The sequence below is a fragment of the Homo sapiens genome, chromosome 16 (genome assembly GCF_000001405.40).
Source record: "Homo sapiens chromosome 16, GRCh38.p14 Primary Assembly".
Lineage (NCBI taxonomy): Eukaryota > Metazoa > Chordata > Mammalia > Primates > Hominidae > Homo > Homo sapiens.
This window is the reverse complement of record NC_000016.10, coordinates 53892743-53911182: the sequence shown is the minus strand read 5'-3', so window position 1 is coordinate 53911182 and position 18440 is coordinate 53892743. Positions and strand designations below refer to the sequence as shown.

At 40.2% G+C, this 18440-nt stretch overlaps 1 protein-coding gene across 24 annotated transcripts in view; it reads right to left on the bottom strand.

The window, feature by feature from the left end:
* FTO (FTO alpha-ketoglutarate dependent dioxygenase) overlaps nt 1-18440 on the bottom strand; it is a 417979-nt gene that overhangs the window by 210759 nt on the left and 188780 nt on the right. The window contains exon 8 of one of the 24 annotated variants that reach the window (NM_001363894.2): nt 10481-10543. The exons of the other annotated variants lie outside the window; for them this stretch is intronic. Within the exon in view, the coding sequence (NP_001350823.1) occupies nt 10481-10543 (63 nt within the window). The remainder of the gene's footprint in view (nt 1-10480; nt 10544-18440) is intronic. 24 annotated transcript variants of the gene reach the window in all.

The following is an 18440-nucleotide window of genomic DNA, read 5'->3' as shown; positions in this document are numbered from 1 at the left end:
TCAAGCCTGAGTTAACATATGAGAGAACACTGCCTGGCACATGATAGGCATGAAAGGAATGCCTACTGCAGACATAAATCAAACTCCCAAATCTACGCTTGGCTCTGACGTCTCTACCAAGTTCCAAACTGGTATTTTCAGCTCTTCTGAGATGTTCGGTATACCGGCTGCTCAAACTCATTTGCCCCTAAACTTCCTTCTTGGGTGTAGCTCAGTAAATGGTATCACCATCCATCTAATAACTAAGACTAGAAGAAATCTTGTAAAATTGCCTGTGACTTCATCATCTCTCAGCTCTGTCATCCAGACTGATGGTGAATTCTATGTACCTATCTAAAAACAAAACAGGCTGGGTGCAGTGGCTCACACCTGTAATCCCAGCACTTTGGGACGTCGAGGCAGGCGGATCCCCTGAGGTCAGGAGTTTGACACTAGCCTGGCCAACATGGCGAAACCTCGTCTCTACTAAAATTACGAAAATTAGCCAAGCATGGTGGTGCGCATCTGTAATACCACTACTTGGGAGGCTGAGGCAGGAGGATTACTTGAACCTGGGAGGCGGAGGTTGCAGTGAGCAGAGATCACACCACTGCACTCCAGCCTAAGTGACACAGTAAGACTGAGTCTCAAACTAACAATCAACAAAAACTCTGAATTTACCACCCCTTTTAATTCCCTCCAATTATTGCCCTGGTTCAGAACCTCATAATTTTGCAGCAAAATTTTTGCAGCAGGTCCCCATGCCTCCAGCCTCTCCTCTCTAGTCTATCCACAATGCTGCTACCAGTTCTAATTTTGAAGAATGGGTCGATTGGATCACTTTCCTACTCAAAAATCTTTGAATCCAGCTCCAACCACTGTCTCCAGAACAAAGGCCAAATTTCTAAGTGTATCATTCAAAGCTCTTCATCAGCTGGCCCCATTCTCCCCCCTCTACTTGTTCTCTAGTTCTACCCCACCTAGGTACCGGAAGTACTGGTTACAAGGCACCACATACTTTTCTGCAAATATGCCCTACTAACGTTACAGAGCCATCCCTCTTGTGCCTATTGTTTGTACTGTCTAAAATGGGCTCCGTCCCAACCTGGGGAACAAAGTGAGACCCCATCTCCACAAATAATAAATTAGCCGGGCATAGTAGCTAGACTGTGTGGTGGTAGAGCTATACTTCCAGCTATTTGGGAGGCTGAGGCAGGAGGAGCGCTTGAGCCCAGGAGTTCGAGGCTGCAGTAAGCTATGATTATACCACTGTACTCTAGTCTAAATGACAGAGCAAGATCCTGTCCCTTAAAAAAAATTGTTTAAAAAAAGAGGCTCTCAGCTGGGCGTGGTGGCTCACACCTGTAATCCCAGCACTCTGGAAAGCCAATGCGGGCGGATCACCTGAGGTCAGGAGTTCGAGACCAGCCTGGCCAACATGGTGAAACCCTGTCTCTACCAAAAATACAAAAATTAGCCGAGCGTGGTGGCGGGCACCTGTAATCCCAGCTACTTGGGAAGCTGAGGCAGAAGAATCGCTTGAACCTGGGAGGCGGAGGCTGCAGTGAGCCATGATTGCACCACTGCACTCCAGCCTGGGTGACAGAGTGAGACTCTGTCTCAAAAAAAAGGCTCTGTCTCAAAAAAAAAAAAAAAAAAAAAAAAAAAAAAGGCGGGGCTCTCTGTCCCTCTTTTTCACCCACCAAATCTCTGCCTGTTAAAATCTAATTCACCTTTCAAGGCACAATTGAAAGGCACTCCTCTTCCATAAAGTCTTGCCCAGTTTTCTGAATCTGACTTCTGTTCTCTGCAGCACCCTCAGAACATGTATTTTCTACCCCCTCATTTGCCACTGCACATCATGCCTTATTCATGTATATGTCTGTTACATGTGCTAACACACATGTGAGCAGCACAAGGGCAGCAACTCTGTTTTCTCAAATGTTCGACACCTTAAACCTTTAAAAAAATTTAATAACAGTTTGTTAGACTGGACTGAGGACTTCCCTGGACTTTGAGCCCCGCTGGTAGATGCCTGCTGAATATGAACTGTACTTTTTCAAAAGATAACAGACTCTACTGGAAGAGGATGGAACAATTAGGAAATGGCAAACTGGGCATCATCCCAGGCCTGCTAGGAAAAGCAAGAGGGATATGGGATGCTCAGAGAAGGATGCTGAGTTATCTTAATTTCAGCCCACAGAGAAAACAAATGAACATTTTCTTGGGGACTCAAAGGTTACCACATTTCTCCCTCATGCTCAAGACATGTTTATAAACACAGAAGGCTATAATAGAACTCACATGAGAAACGATACTCAACTTTAGCAAGTGTTTACATTCTCATCAGGACAACAAATCACTTCTCACCAGGAGATTCCAACTCAGTCAGCATGAAGATTCTTGTACGTGGGCCAAGGGGGATCTACCCTGGGCCAGAAAACCTCCTGGCCCTTCAGGCCGGATTGTGACTCTAGGCACCAACACAAGAAGAATAAGAAAGTGGCATCTCAATGACAATTCCAAACCCACTGTCCACATTCTGCATGGCTCTGAAGTGCCAAAGTACCCACGGGCCATGACAGGTACTGATTTGTCACAAGACTGCCAACCTAGACAGGCACAGGGCAATATCAAAGAGGATGGCACCAGACCTTCCTGACAGGAAAAGGCTGGTAGCCAAGGTCCCCAAAGTTTCTTATATCTGGCAAAAGAAGGAACGATGTGCCGACCCCCAGGAACCTGGACCTTTCTTAACATCTGAGGTCAATAATATTTGGAAGATAATGAAATTAGGAAGGGAGAATGACAGAGGCCATAACTGAGGTTCTGCCAGAGGCAACATCCCAAAAGAATAATTCCTGTCAATTCACTCACCTGCTCATCATTTGTTAATAACTAGACAATGGCTTTACTACGAGTTTGCATGCAATGGTTGGACATTTTAGACTTGCCCCTGACAACGAAAATCTGACAAGGGATGTCTTATTGCAGATAATAGGACCTAAATTAATCCCATGGAATTGGCTCATATTCCAATAATTTGGAGAATCTATACAAAGAAACTGCATGGCCATTTACATTCTATTTTACAATATGATCAACAATTCTCAGTTCTTTGTCAAGGGATGGTTAATAAGATTCACAAATTATATGACCAAAAACCACTTCAGCAACTTTAATGTCTCTAGCAGCACTGGACCTTCACGAAACAGGTAAGTACTCTCAAACTCTATCTGCCATAGAATCTCAGTGCCTCCAGAATAAAGCTTGAGCTCTCAAGCATGGCTTTCATGAGAGTAATGGTAAAGTATAGTGCAGGGACCTGATCTAGTCAGACAGATCAAGGGAGTCTGGACTGAGGAAGGAGTAATTGAGCTGGTATCTTAAAAGTGAGTAGAAATATATTCCTCTCTTGGTGAGAGAAGACATTCCAGGAAGAACAAATGACGTGTGCAAAGGCCCTGAAGAAGAAGGGAGCATGATGTGATTAGACTGATTGAGAAAGGGCCATTGTGGTAGGAATACAGGGAGTGAAGGGGTTGGAGGAAAGGTGAGGAGGAAAAGATGGGCTGAGGATAAAGGACAGACAGTCCCTGACTTATGACAGTTTGACTTATGATGGTTTGTCTGACTTACAATTTTTCAACTTTACTAGGGTGCAAAAGCTATATGCACACAGTAGAAACCATACTTTGAATTTTGCATTTCTATCATTGGCCAGGTTAGCGACACACAGTCCCATACTCTCTCACGATGCTGGGCTGTGGCAGAGAGTTTGTGCTCCCCGTCAGCCAAGCTACCATGAGGGCAAACCACCAATACTGTACTCTACAGTGTACTGTATTCAATAAATTACATGAGATATCCAACACTTTATTATAAAATAGGCTGTGTCTTAGATGATCTTGCCAAGGGTAGGCTAATGCGTTCTGAGCATGTTTAAGTCACTCTAGGCTAATCTATGATGTTGGGTAGGTTAGGTATATTGAATGCAATTTCAACTTAACAATATTTTCAACTTTCAATGGGTATATCAGGACACAGACCCATCGTAAGTTGAGGAGCATCTATATTTTAGTCTTTATCCTAAGAGCAAGTGGAACCCATTAATGAGTTTACACAGAGAGGAGTATGATTAGATTTGCATATGATAATATTACCCTGGCTGCTGTGTGAAGAGTATAGGAGACCATAGAGTAAGCTACTGCAATAGCCCAGAGGAAGGCTGGTAGCAGGAGAGATGAAAAGCAGACAACTTTGAGAGGTATTTCAAAGGTAAGAGTTCTCCCACAGGGTACCTGGGGTGGAGAGAGGGAAGTTTCAAGAAGGATTCCTCTCCTTCTGGCATGAAGACCTGGATGTGGAGTGGTGCTGCTTCTTCAGTTAGGGAACTCTAGAAGGGGGCTAGTTTGGGGGAACGGACAGCCACTGGTCCACTTTAGAAGCCTTATATAACCTGCATCTTCCTGCTTCTACCACTCTACACGTTATTCTCTCCATAGGAAATAGCCACTCTTTTCTCATGTCCATCCTCCTGTTAAAATTCTCTCCATTCTATAAGAATCAACTCAAAATGCTTCACTGTGAAGCTTTGAAATCGGATCCACCTAAATGTATCCTACCATCTTCCAAGCTTTCATAGTCTGTTTCTACTATAGTTATCAACATCATCTTCCACCTTACATAAGAATCATAAACATAGCTGTTTCCCTCCCGAGTCCCCCACAGAATGAAGGAAACACAGCAGGCACTCAATACCTCTCTGTTCGTTTAAAGTGAGGGAGCCTTCCTGTTCATTCGCTAATCTGTTCATATATTCGTCCGTTCAATCAAATCTAACTTGGTGAGAAGTCAGGTGCCTGTTGAACAGTAATTATCAACCCTAAACACATGTCAGGATTACTTGGGAGGTTTTGAACCATACTGCAACTTGGTGAAACATTAGAATCACATGGGACCCACAGCTTAGACCAATTAAATCTGTATCTCTGGAGGTGGGACCTAACTGATGAAAAATTTTAAAAATTGTCCTAGGTGTTTCAAATATGCAGCCAAGATCGAGAGCTATGGCTACTGAACCCCGATGCCTGGAGCTGGTGCTTATGTCTTTAAAAAGTTGCATGAAGTGTCTTTGATATAGATGCTAATGTTGACAGAGTCTAATGCAGAGAAATTACATTCCAGAGAAGGTGAAAAAGATAAGATTTCTGCAGTTAGTAATGGATAATTATTGAATCTTTTAAAATAAGGGAGTTTTTCAAATGGATTACGCCAAAAAGAAGGAAGAGCAAGGCATTCAACAAATATCACAAACAAAGCACCACTAGCATAAAAGGGTGCACCTCAGAGAGAGCGTACACCCATGAAACATTTGCTTCTTCACTTGTTCATCCAATATGTGTTGTGTTATGACTTTGTTTCAGGCACCAAGAACACAGCAGTATGTGAGACAGAGTCCCTGCTCTCAAGGTGCTTATAGAATAGCACAGGTAATAGGTGAACACATAAAACATAATTTCGGACAGTGATAAATACTCTCAGGAAAAAAATAAAACATGGTAAAAAGAGAAAGGGCCACTGTGAGGTGACTTTTGAACAGAGAACTGAATGGAAAGCATGGATTATACATATGCACAAACCTAAGATGAGAGTCTAAGGAGCAACAGGAACTCAGGTGAAAGTTAAGGGGTCACCAAATTAGCAGGATGGCGGGAGGAATAAAAGAAGTAGATTCAAAGCAAAAATGCAAAAGATGCCAGGCAATGGACAAAACACTACATGTATTATCTCAGGCAAATCTCACAACCATCTGCTAAGGGAGATACTATTATTATCCCCATTTTACAAATGAAGAAACTTGAGACTCTCCATATGACTGCCACTGTCATACACAACAAAATGATGAAGTCAGGGCCCAAACCCCAGTTTGATTAACTTGAAAGCTAAAGCTCTTAACCCAAGAATATCTAAGCCTGACCACTTCAAAGGTGATGGAGTGGCTGATCACATGGGTCATACAGCCAGCAACAGATGCTCACTTTACAACATAGCATGAGATAACACAGCAAGAGATGTGGTCTAGTAAGGCCCCCAACTCCTGAGAATTAGTGTCCACCCACTCAAATATAGTAAGGGGTCAAAGAAAGCTCTCCTCCCCTGCTGAGATCTCTTTTCGTCCTTGTCTTTATTAGAAAATATTGTTCTAACCACTCCCCAGTCATCACAGTTCCCCGCAAAGTCTTCTTGAAATAAAACTCTTACCTAACAAACTATGTGTGCAAGGTAAAGGCTTCAACCTGCAGTTCCATAGCCAAGCAGGAAAAGGCCCAGAGCAGAGAATGAGTCAGTGTTTAAATGATCCTAATGAAGACTGACAGGTGGAGGAAGAACGAGGCGAGCAGGAGAGGCCAAGGAGGCTCATCATATCAGAAGGTGACAACTGAAACTCAGACCTGAACAGATTCCAACAGGAACATAACTTTAAACAGAAAATCAGGCAAAGTGCCATGTTTCCAGGGATGGGGAGCCCTCCCTTCACCTTCCATTGCCAAAAATAGTTATAGCACAAAGGCCTAGAACTCAGCAGGGTACATAAAGGGCCACCTACATCCCGTGTGGAACTCAGTTCCACCACGTAATAACATCACTGCATGTCACGCTAACCGCACCCATCACCCAGACTGATCAGTTGATTTGACGCACAAGTCCATGGTGAAAGAGAACAACCTTCCCACATTTACCAGTCAAGGACAGATGGGTGTTCCTCATGGGAACCGCTATATGTATTGGGATTCTTCAGTTGCAGTAACAGAATGGAGCCTGGGTAAAGATTATTATAGCAATTAAGAGAACAGTTGCTCCCACCTCAGTGCAAACCCCAGCTCTGTTGCTCCCTACTCCTATGACCTGACAAATCTTTTCATACATCTGAGCCTTAGTTTCTTTCTCAGTAAAACAGGAATGAGAGAAATGCAAATGGAAATGGGGCACCATTTTTCACCAATCATTCTTGCAAAAAAGTCTGATGATACACTGCACTGGTGAGGATGTTGGGAAACTGGCATTATATGGACACATATGTACACATGTACATATATGTATATGTATATACATATATCTATATGTAAATATAGATACATATACACATGTATATAGATAACATATATGTATATTGTCTATGTTTATATATGTAAATAAACTAATCTATATGTAAATATACACATTTATATATGTATATAAACTCTACATACATACATATAGATAGTATATATATCTACAAATACACACATTTACACACACACACATATAAACTCTGCTACAAACTCTATGGAAGGCATTTGACCATCTCTCTTAAAATTAAAAATGCACACATCCTTTGATCCAACAATTTTACTCCTAGGTATTAATTACCATAGATCTCACTTGTGAAAAACGTTATGTATTAGGATACTCACTACAATATTATTTGTAAAAGCAGAAGACTAAAGACAGTAGAAGTCTGGTTACATAAGTTATGGAACCATACAATAAAAAGCTACACAGTAATTTAAAAGAACATACAAATTTGGAACAATCTCTAAGACATAGTGTTATCCATGTGGGGAAAAAACACATAAACGTTTGTAACTACATAGAATATCTTAGCTGGGCACAGTGGCTCACGCCTGTAATCCCAGCACTTTGGGAGGCTGAGGCGGCCAGATCACTTGAGGTCAGGAGTTTGAGACTAGTCTAGCCAACATAACAAAACCCTGTCTCTACTAAAAATACAAAAATTAGCTTGGTGTGGTGGCGAGCACCTGGAATCCCAGCGACTCGGGAGGCTGAGGCAGGAGAATCGCTTGGACCCAGGAGGCAAAGGTTGCAATGAGCCTAGATTGCACCATTGCACTCCAGCCTGGGCAACAGAGGAAGACTCCGTCTCAAGGAAAAAAAAAAAAAAAACTAGAATATCCCTAGAAAGGTATGGAAAGAACTAAGAATAGTGCTAGCCTCTTGGGAAGGGAATGAGTGGCTGGAGGATTGAGGGGACAGAAACACACTTTTCACAGCATAGGCTTTTATAACTTTGTTTTTATTTTTATTTTGTAAGAGACAGGGTCTCACTCTGTCACCCAGGCTAGAGCACAGTGGTGCTACCACAGCTCACTGTAACCTCCAACTCCTAGACTCAAGTGATCCTCCTGCCCCACCCTCCCGAGTAGCTGGAACTACGGGCATGTGCCACTACGCCTGGCTAAGTCTTTTGCATTTTTTGTAGAGGCAAGGTCTTGCTATGTTGCTGGTCTTGAACTCTTAGTCTGAAGTGATCCTCGCCCCTCAGTCTCTCTAAGAGCTAGAATTACAGGAATGAGCCACCATGCCCGGCCACGTTGATAACTTTTGAATTCTGCATCCTGTGTCTATGATATTGTATGTATATTTATAAGCAAACAGCTCTGAGAAAGCTCATGTGAAAGATCTGGCTCAGGTCATATGCTCATGGAGTAGCCAGAATAAGACAATGCACCTCACCCTCTAGCCAATGAAGAAAATGGCTCCACAAGGCAACATGAGGATGCTGCCAGAGAAGGAGGAATGAATGCTGGGTGAGCAAAAACAGTGTCCATCTCAACACCAGAGAGCCTCATTTTGATATGCCAGGTCCAAACACAGGGTAGAGAAAAAGTTCCAGAGAAACACTCAGTTTATCTTATTTTGCTATTGGCACACCGTTGAAAGTTGGCGAATGCATCAGAGAAATATCCCAAGCACAGCCATGGATATTTAGGGAGTAGTAGAAAGCACTGAACTGGGAACTGGGAAATCTGGGGTTCTATATTATCTGGCTCTATGCCCTCCAGAAAAGCCTACATCCTTCTGAGTCCTTCCTTTCCAAAAAGGAAGAGAAGATGATCACCTCTCAGGTCCCTTCCAACATTGACATTCCTGAATGCCATGGCACTTGGACCTCAGCTTGTCAGAGCCTAGCAGTTTGAGTACCATTAGGGTGAATACCTAATATATAAAGAAGAGAGGATAAATGTTTCAGGCCTTGAAAGAAATTAAGCAATGCCCAATATCACTATGCCGACGTTACCTGTTTCTCTGGCATTATGAGCAATAATGAGATATCAAAGAAGAAGGCATTCTAAAAAGCCTGAAGCCCATTTGTTCTCTAGGGGAGCAATGACCCTCTGGTGTGACTTTCTTCAGTTTCTTTGGTAAAATGAAACAGTAGTCCCATAGTATCATTTCTCTATGTCACTATCATTTAAGGAGAATAGTGGCCTCTAAATTTACCCCAAGACCCTAGATTCCTAAGCAGAATCAAAGTAAAGGCAATCTTTCAGAAGCCCACGTTTGAAGAACAAACTGAGAGTTATTACTCACTCAACAATTAACATCTTGTGCCTTAGAAGTAATAAAACCAGTCATTGGAAAATAACAGCATCACATAGAGAGGGAAAACATGAGGGTCTAGCAGAAATTTATGTGCAAAGGTGGGAAAGACCAGAGTGAACAACGGCCATTTACGTTCTGAACATTTACTCAGTCTTTCAATTGGTGTGACTGACAAGCTGAAGTGCAATGGCAAATAGAGACAGCAGAGAGTGCACAATCACTAATGTGGGACTGTTAGCCAAGGAGTGGAGAGGTATGTGTGGGAAAGAAACCACTCTATTTCAGCAGTGGAAGTGAGAGAAGACCACATCCACTCTCTTGAACCAAATCAAATAGCTCATGAATGACACTTTGGCTTTATTTCAAAATAATTTTTATGCAAGTATTGAGTTCACAAGACTGTCACCTGGACAAGAGGCAATGAAGATGTCATTTCTTCCAAACCACAACTCTAATAGCAAAAGATCAAATGAAATACACTTAGGGTTCCTAACAAGGAAGAGAATCATAAGTGGTTCATACATGGGAAGACCTGCTTCTGACCAAAGTCCAAAATTATTAAGCTGGTATTCAATTTATCAGAGAAAAACAAAGAATCTTGGTAGAAAAATTACCTAATCTCATTTGTAATTCTCATTCTAAAAATGTATGGTGTTGCTTGTTTGCTGTACTCACAAAGCAGACAGGTCTTGAAAGTAGTGCAAATAACTGAATTTGACTTGCTTTCAAAGTAAAACCTTTGCAAGTGCAAGATAATCAAACGGTTTTCATTTTATTTTTAGTTGCACATGTTTAGCACTTTGCTTCCCATGACTTTGATAGGAAGCCAGTCATTAAGGGGTGAAAGTGCCATACCTTGCAAAGAAATGCATTAGAGAAAAAAAGGTCCTTGCTAATCTTCCTAATCTTATCTCTAGCTGCTGGACTCACACAAACCAAACTCCATCCAGTCTAATCAAGTTTGCGAGCAGGTCTGTGTTTTCCCACTGCGATGGCCCTGCTTCTGCCATCTTTGAATATTCTCCACCCATCTCCATCTATCAAAATCCTTCGTATTCCCAAAGGCCTCTGTCAGAATCTGCTCTTCTCCTTTTTCTTCCTCTGAATTACTTACTGCCTTGTGCCTTATCAACCTGGGAGACATAAGTCCTAGCTCTTTGTATAACTCCACACTTATCTGCAAAAAAAAAAAAAAAAAAAAAAAAAAAGGAGCAGATGAATGATTAAATGACTGGGATGAAGAAAGAGCACTTCTGATGTCACTATATTAAAATAGATTTCAAATATAATTATTATCCAATGTTTAAGGCTAGCTTTCATCAAAATATCTCAGTAGTGTGGAATAATAAAAACTGAAATGCAAGAGAAGAGGATTCTGAATTTTCAGATTTAAAAGACGGAAACCAAGAGTCTTAACACATTGCCCTTTTTTTGAGAATATTCTATTTAACTTTCAGATTTTTCAGACTGCTCATATAAAGATCGAGTTCTTTCAGAGGTCTTATTTGCATCCAAAAATGTAATCAAGGCTATTTCAACCTAGACAAAAAACAACACTGCTTAATTAACTCAACTAATAAAGCCAGACTCTTTCTCACATTAAAGAAAAAAAAATTAAAAGACAGATCCTGAGAATCCCAGAAGGCCACCCTGTGCTACTTATGCCAGGCTATGTGGATGCCATATGCATTCGAATTCTGTCTCAGGACAAAAGGGAGATGGGGCACTCTAGAACCAGTCAGAAGACCTGAGCATCGGCTACAAACACAACTGATTTCTCTCCTACAACAAAGTGGTGGGGTGGGTTGGTGGGGAGGAAGAAAAATCTTCAGCCCCCAGTGGCATTCACATCAAAATCTTTTATAAGGCTTCAATCTTCCGACTTTACCTAAGGAATGAAGTCAGCTTCATGTATTCAGATAAGCAATAATAGTTCTGCTGCTTATAGAATTACAACCAAACTTTTTCCTTTGTTCTAGCAAAAGACTTCCTGTGTGAAAGCAGTCATCCTTTAAAGCTTTCCAGTCCAAAGGTCTCCCCTGGTTTGTATTCCCCTATTCCCGTCCCCCAAAGGAAAAGCTCAATCCACATCACAAGGCATTTCTTGGTTCCAAGCTGTACTGGTTTCTCAAGGACTCCTGGTGAGGAAAGAAAACTGGTCATCTGAACATCCTTTCCTGGGATCTGTCTGAAGTGTAGACAAGCAGCAAAGATGAATATTAATATGCCTTCCATCATCAAAAGCTATTGCATACCCAAAGGATGATAAATATTTTAATCAGTTTTCAGCTTGTCTAGAGGAAGTCAGTTTACTCCTCAGGGACTTCCCTAGTCCTGTGCCCAAAACCTGTCCAGTCCATGCTGCTTTCTCTATATAATTTTGAAAATTTGTAACAAGAAAGTCCAAGCTTTGTTGGAGAAGTCATTTAATTTTGTGACAATTTACTAAGTTTTTCCAGAAGAGGGAAATCTAAAATATGAAGGATGATCACAAATAAGACAAAACACTATGATTCTAACTTTTAGCAACACTGGTACTCTGGGAAACTAATAACCTACTTAAGCCTCTCATTAAAAAAAAAAAAAGATTTTCCATATTTGCATAAGTTGTTTGCCTGTGATTGCTCAATCTTCTCAGCTATAAATGCCAGAGGCATAAAACAAGACTGTCCTCTGTGCCCTCAGTATTATTTTGTTTTTAAAAAGAAGTTAAAGACGTTTTGGGGTATTATTGTGAGAGTTATGTTTGTTTAAGAATAAAACTAACCCAAAAATATTCCTGTGAAGCAGGTAATAAGAGGTAATATTTTAGGAAAATGTATAAAGTTAAAAAGAATTTATTGGCCAGGTGCTGTTATTCACACCTGTAATCCCAGCACTCTGTGAGGCCAAGGTGAGAGGATGACTTAAGGCCAGGAGTTCAAGACCAGCCTGGTCAACACAGCAAGAACCTGTCTCTGCAAAAATAAAAATAAATTAGTCAGGCATGATGGCTTGTAGTTCCAGCAACTCAGGAGGCTGAGGTGGGCAAATCACTTGAGCCCAGGAGTTTGAGGCTACAGTGAGCTATGATCACACCACTGTACTCTAGCCTAGGCAACAGAGTAAGACCGTCCCAAAAAAAGATTTAAGGCCACACTGATCAACATGGGTGGGAGGAAAAGGCAGGACTAGAACACAGACCTCACGTGAACTCTTTCTTTTAACAAACATGTGTCGAGTACCTCCTATGCAGTAGATGCTGTTCTAGAGGCTGGGGAAATAAGAGTGACTAAAACAGACCAAGTCCCTGCTGCCCTCATGGAGATTATTTCAGGTAGAGGCAGACAACAAATGGATATATAGGATAATTGCAGTTGGTGGAAAGTGTTAAGAGTACAGTAGAAAAGAGTAAGGCCCTGCTACAATGAGAGAGTGCTTGGTCAGAGCAACTCTCTCCAAGAAAGTGACATGAGCAGAGATCTGAATGAAATGAGGGAGAGAGTCATGTAAATTACAGAAGGACAGACATTCCAGACAAAGGCAGCGGCACATGCAAAAATCCTGGGCAAGAGTGGGCTGGGCATGTTCTAGACATAGTAAGGCAGACATTAGGGGAGGGAAAGAGGGGGAGCACTGATGGAGGTCGAGGAATGGACAGATCCTGCAGGGCATTAGGCCACTGCAAGGAAGGTGGATTTCTAAACATGATAGTAGGTTTGAAACAGGGGAGTGAAACGACGACCTGACTTGTATCTCAAAGGAACATTCTGACTGGGATGGACATAGGGTAGTAGAAGCAGGAAAGCTGGTTGAGAGGCTATTTTATAAACGATGGTAGTTTTTACCAAGGTGGTAGCACAGGAGGTAGTGAAGGGTAGTCAGGTCATGAGTATATTTTGAAAGTAGAGCTAACTGGATTCACTGATAAATCAAGAGATACATCAAGAAGACTCCAAGGTTTTAGTCTGGGCAACTGGACAGTTCAAATTACTGAACTGTGAAACACTAGGGACTACAGAAATCAAAACTTGGGTTTTGGATTTGGTACCTTTGAGATATTTATTACTGGATGGCTGAATACTGCCCACCCTTCCCAAACAATGTTCAGGTATCCAGGACATGAGACTTCAGTATCAAGAACATATTAATGTATTACAAGCATTGGTATATGCCACCACTCCCATCCTTTAAAAAATGTCACTGCTAACTGCATGAAAAGTTTATGTCATCAAGTAAAATTTGAAACCTCTTAATCCCCCAACATCTGTTAAAGAACATCTGACGCATAATTCTGGATATTTCATAATTTGTCATTTCAATTAATAATATTTAATAAGAGGGCTATATATGCTCAAGCTACCACCAGCTCTAAGTCTTTATAACCAATGCAGATATGGCTATGCAGATATGTCTAAAACATTAAAATTTAATTATGAATAGTGCCCGAAGACTCCAGATTTTTAGTTGAAAGCTAATTTTGTCAATCAAAAACAAGTAGGAGATTTATTGAGCGGTATTAAAAGAAACAAGTAGGAGATGATCTGCCTGAGATTTTTATACATATGAAGGAAAAATTTACAATTGAGACTGTCACAGGTGGTTCCAGATGGACTGAGATCATGCAAAGAAAATGCAAAAAAAAATGTCAATCACATTTAACTTGTTAGGGAAAACATGCTATTAAAAATATCATCTACAAATAATCACAGAGATCCTTTCAGGAATACAGAAAAAAAATAGATCACAGTTCCCTTTGGTTAAAAAAGGGTCATTATTTTGCAGATGTCAATGAGGAGGGAGCAGGATGGTGGTTATGTTACCATAAGGCACGGAAGGGCCAACTTAATGTGTTCCCGGGGCTCTCTGTAAGTCATTTTTTGGCACTGGGAGTACATTTCTCCATAGAGACATTTCTGTACAATATGGAAAGATTCCCAGCCCAGCCTCTCAAAGTATTTAACCCACAGTGGATAGACGCATTGCAAGAGGAGCGCTGAGTTCCAAATTGTTGTGAGTCCCTTTAGCTCCTGGACTGAACCCCAGCTCCAGAGGAAGGAAAATTAGGAAAGGAAAGGGATGCTGTCAATAAGGAAGACTCGGTCAACCGGCCTCGAAGTAAGGATTCCTCAGTTGAAGACTCTCCACGCTTCCTTTTAAAATCAATACTGGTGATACCTTGCATTTATGTATGTTTTATATTTTACAAACTTTCTCATTGGATCATCATAACAATATTTTTCAAGAGGCAACAGTTTTAGTGATTATTCATTAACCAACTTGGGGGAAAAAGATTCTAACATCTTGATAATATTCCAAATAAATGGCACGACATCCTTTGGAAATCTTGTTTTCCTTTCAAATCTGTAGGTCTGGTGATTATTATTATTATTTTGTACACTACTTCATTCTTCTAGACTGAGATTCTTCTAGGATATTTCAGAGGTAATTATAATAAAGTAAATAACAGACTAGAGCTGAATTTAATCCCTCTACCATGCTCCCCACAAAAAAAAAAAAACCCTAGATGAAATAAGTTACATAATTTGTTTTATGTTATATCTTTTCCAGGAAAAAGAGAAATTTCTGACATTCCAATCTTGCACCAGGGTTTCTTAATTCATATCTGAAATGCTATGATAGTCTGCTAGTCAAAGCAATCCAAAATGAATTCTAGCAGCCAAGGCTAAAATAGCACCCCAGGGAAAATAGCAGGATCTTCACACCTTTACATCAATTTGAATTTCAGGGTGGTTAAAACTATTTAAAGCAGCAGAATTCATCTTTTTTTTCTTTACATATAGAATGTGTGAAATGTGTGTATGTGTGTGTGTGCACATGTGCGTGTGTATATTTAACGAAGGTTGTCAAAATTTAGCCAAATCCTACAGAAACAAGGTTAAAACACAAACCCTGGCTGTTTACTCCAGTTTTTCTCTCCACACACTAAGAGTTAAGAGAGATGGCAAGGCTGTCACTTGGAATTTCCTAGCTCCTGTCACTTTGTCTCAGCATCTTCAGCATTTTTAGTGTTGTTCCTATTGTGTGCAGAGCAGAGGCACTAGGAACGATCCTCTTAACATTCCTGAGATGTACCAGGCACATCCTAGGACTTGGTACCAGTAAAGCTCAACTCTCACACAGCTCATGTAAGGGTTAAAAACAGAAAGTCCTACCCACTGGTTTGCTCTGATGTTCCTGGAGATACTGTCACTGGATGTATCCTCAGTAGAATTCTATTCAACACCTCTGTCTTTAAGTACAAAGCTGTAGGCTGTAGCAGCTTTAAGAAACATAAGTATCCCTTTTTTCTGCTGCACAGTATCTGTGTGTGAAATTCTCTAAAGGGGTTTAAGTATTTACCCTGAACACTATCAGACGGTTTCTAAAATTTTCCTTATCCAGTTGCAAAAACACTTCAAAGAGAATCATAAACACAGTCCTTTGTGCTTTCGAAGCACACTGTGTTTTTGAGGCTTAAGCCTGAATTCTCTTGGAATTGTATATTCTTTTTTCCCAAAAAGACAGGATACACAACACTTTCTTGTAAAATTCCTTACTAAAGGTACAGACACTCAGGGAAAAAAATGGAAAACTCTGAAATTCATAAGATAATCAAAAAAGGAATAAAAACTTATAAGAAATTCACTGCTAAATTACATGTAAAATTTCTCCCCAGATGTTTTACTTTTAATAGAACAATATAGCTGTGGGGAATTGGAGTGGGTGGGGAATTAGAGTGGGTGGGTAGGAAGGAGAATGGAAAGAACCGAGCTTCCCTGAACACCTTTAAGATAACCAAAAACCAAAGATTTAAACCAAAGATTTTAAGCTGCTCCAGCTGCAAGTGACTTTTTCGTTTTTCCAGATTTTCAAAGCTAAACGTAAAGGTCCTAAAACTCAGTGCCTGCACACCAGTTTCAGAAACTGAATTTTTGGATGCTTATGACTCTTTATCCACCTCTAATCTGTGCTTATCTTGAGTCACTCAGCACTGCCCCAGTCAAAAAAGAGAATTTACATTTTAATTTAAAACCACTAGACATCTCACATCTGATCCTAAATTACTATAATATACTCTGCTCTTAAATCAGAAATGCTAACCCTGAAAAATGGGAGACTGGATTATGTTGGCTGATGTAACTTAATGTGCACATTAACACTGAAAAGAAGGGTGAAAAAAATTATACACACACACACACACAAAAATTGGTGACTTTCCCATTAATGCAAACAAAAAAATTCGATATTTATATTTCCATCACTTTCTTCTGCACATCCCCAAAAATCTTCAATCCTAGAAGGAAGTTTAAAATAAACTTAGCTAATTGAACTATAATACAATAGCAAATACCAGTATACTCAGTAAAAATTTCAGTAAATGAAAAAGCAGCCTTGTTCCTGTATTCAGTTTTAAAGAATTTAATCTAAAGCACTGTGATGAGAACTTCATTAATCTCTCCAAAAATAAACAAACTACTGCTCGGCTCAGTCATTCCCTATGACTATGTAAACTACATGAAGTGTAACCTATGCTGAGGAAGACTCATCCACACAGCCATGGGCAGGCTCCTGGCAAGGGCCTTCCCAGATGATTTACATAGGCCAAAATAGCAGGGGAAAAGGCATGACTCATCTTAAAATTAAACTATTATAACTAACTTGTCAGGCACAACCTTTACCTTCTTAAGTACATTTCTCTCTTAAAACTTTAACAACAAGAAACTGGTTACATTATTAAATAAAACACCTACTCATTTTCCACATGTCTCTGCTCTCCTGTGCCAAATTTTAACATAAATGGATAGAATTAAATGTAGCCTATAGCTTACCTAACATAATTATATGTTGTGTTTTACACTGTTTCCAAACGGATACATTAAAATAATCCAGTCTTGGCTCCTACCCACTAAAGTCAATAAAGGTTATTAAGGCCAACTGCCATATAAATGCATTGCTATAACAGCACAAGGAATTGTCAGAACAGGAAACGCAATTCAAAACATTCAAAACCATCAGGATCTACTTTTTATTCTAAAAGAAAAAACCAAGGAAAACAGCAAGAAGAATTTCTCTCCAGTATCGAAATCATCACTACTTTCGAAAATGTTTACTCTGGAAACGATTGTCGAATATTTCCACTGGATTATACCAAATTGACCTTTTTTTTTTTTAAGGTCAATAGGAAATGAATAAATGTCATCAATTTAGAGGATTTCGCACCTAGCATTCTTTTCTGTATCATTGTGAATTTGATAGTGTTAAAACATTTTTATAGGTAAAATAAATGTCAGTTTTGCAAAGAGCGATACCAGACCCTGAGAGACAAATGGCCTATCCATTGAATCTCTGGCTACAGCAAGACTTGCCCACCTCACAGGAGACTTCAGCTTTTCATATTTCTCTTTACCCAGAAAGCAAAGCAGCTGTACAGTTTCTTTCAAATGGTAACTCTCTCTTATCCTGAAGAGTCTTCTCATAATACAATCATCTTGGATGGCAGGGGCGGTGGGGGTAGGAAGTGCATCGGGTTTTAAAAAAATTAAAATAAAAAACAAATATTTGAATAGTATTATAGTGTTATAATGCCATCCTCAATAGGGAGCAAAGAGGAGGGGAAAGGCCAGACTAAATTCCTGGGTTATAAGAAAGGGTTATGTTGCTTTGGGCTTAATGGCTCATAAATTCATGAGGTAATATTCAGGGAAAATGTGATATTTTATCAGAATGTCATTCAAATATAAGGTTTAACATTTACATCACAAGAGCATGGATGGAGTAAAACTATCCGCTGGGAGAAAAAATGGCAAGAATAAACAGTGTGATAAAAATGGTGTTTTCTGGGACAGGAAATGGGAAGTGGAGGATGGGGGAGTTTTAGAGACAGCTGACTAAACTTTTTGAAATATGTGACTGGTTATGACATGTGAAGCAATTACCATTAATGGAAGAAAAGCGATTTCAAAGCTCATTTTCCATTCTTCTATATCCTTCCTGAGACTACACCTTGCAGCCACAAAGTGAAAAAAGAGCACAAAGACAGAAATCACAGCGCAAGTCTCTTCCCTGGTACGAGGGCCGATAAAGGTTGCTTT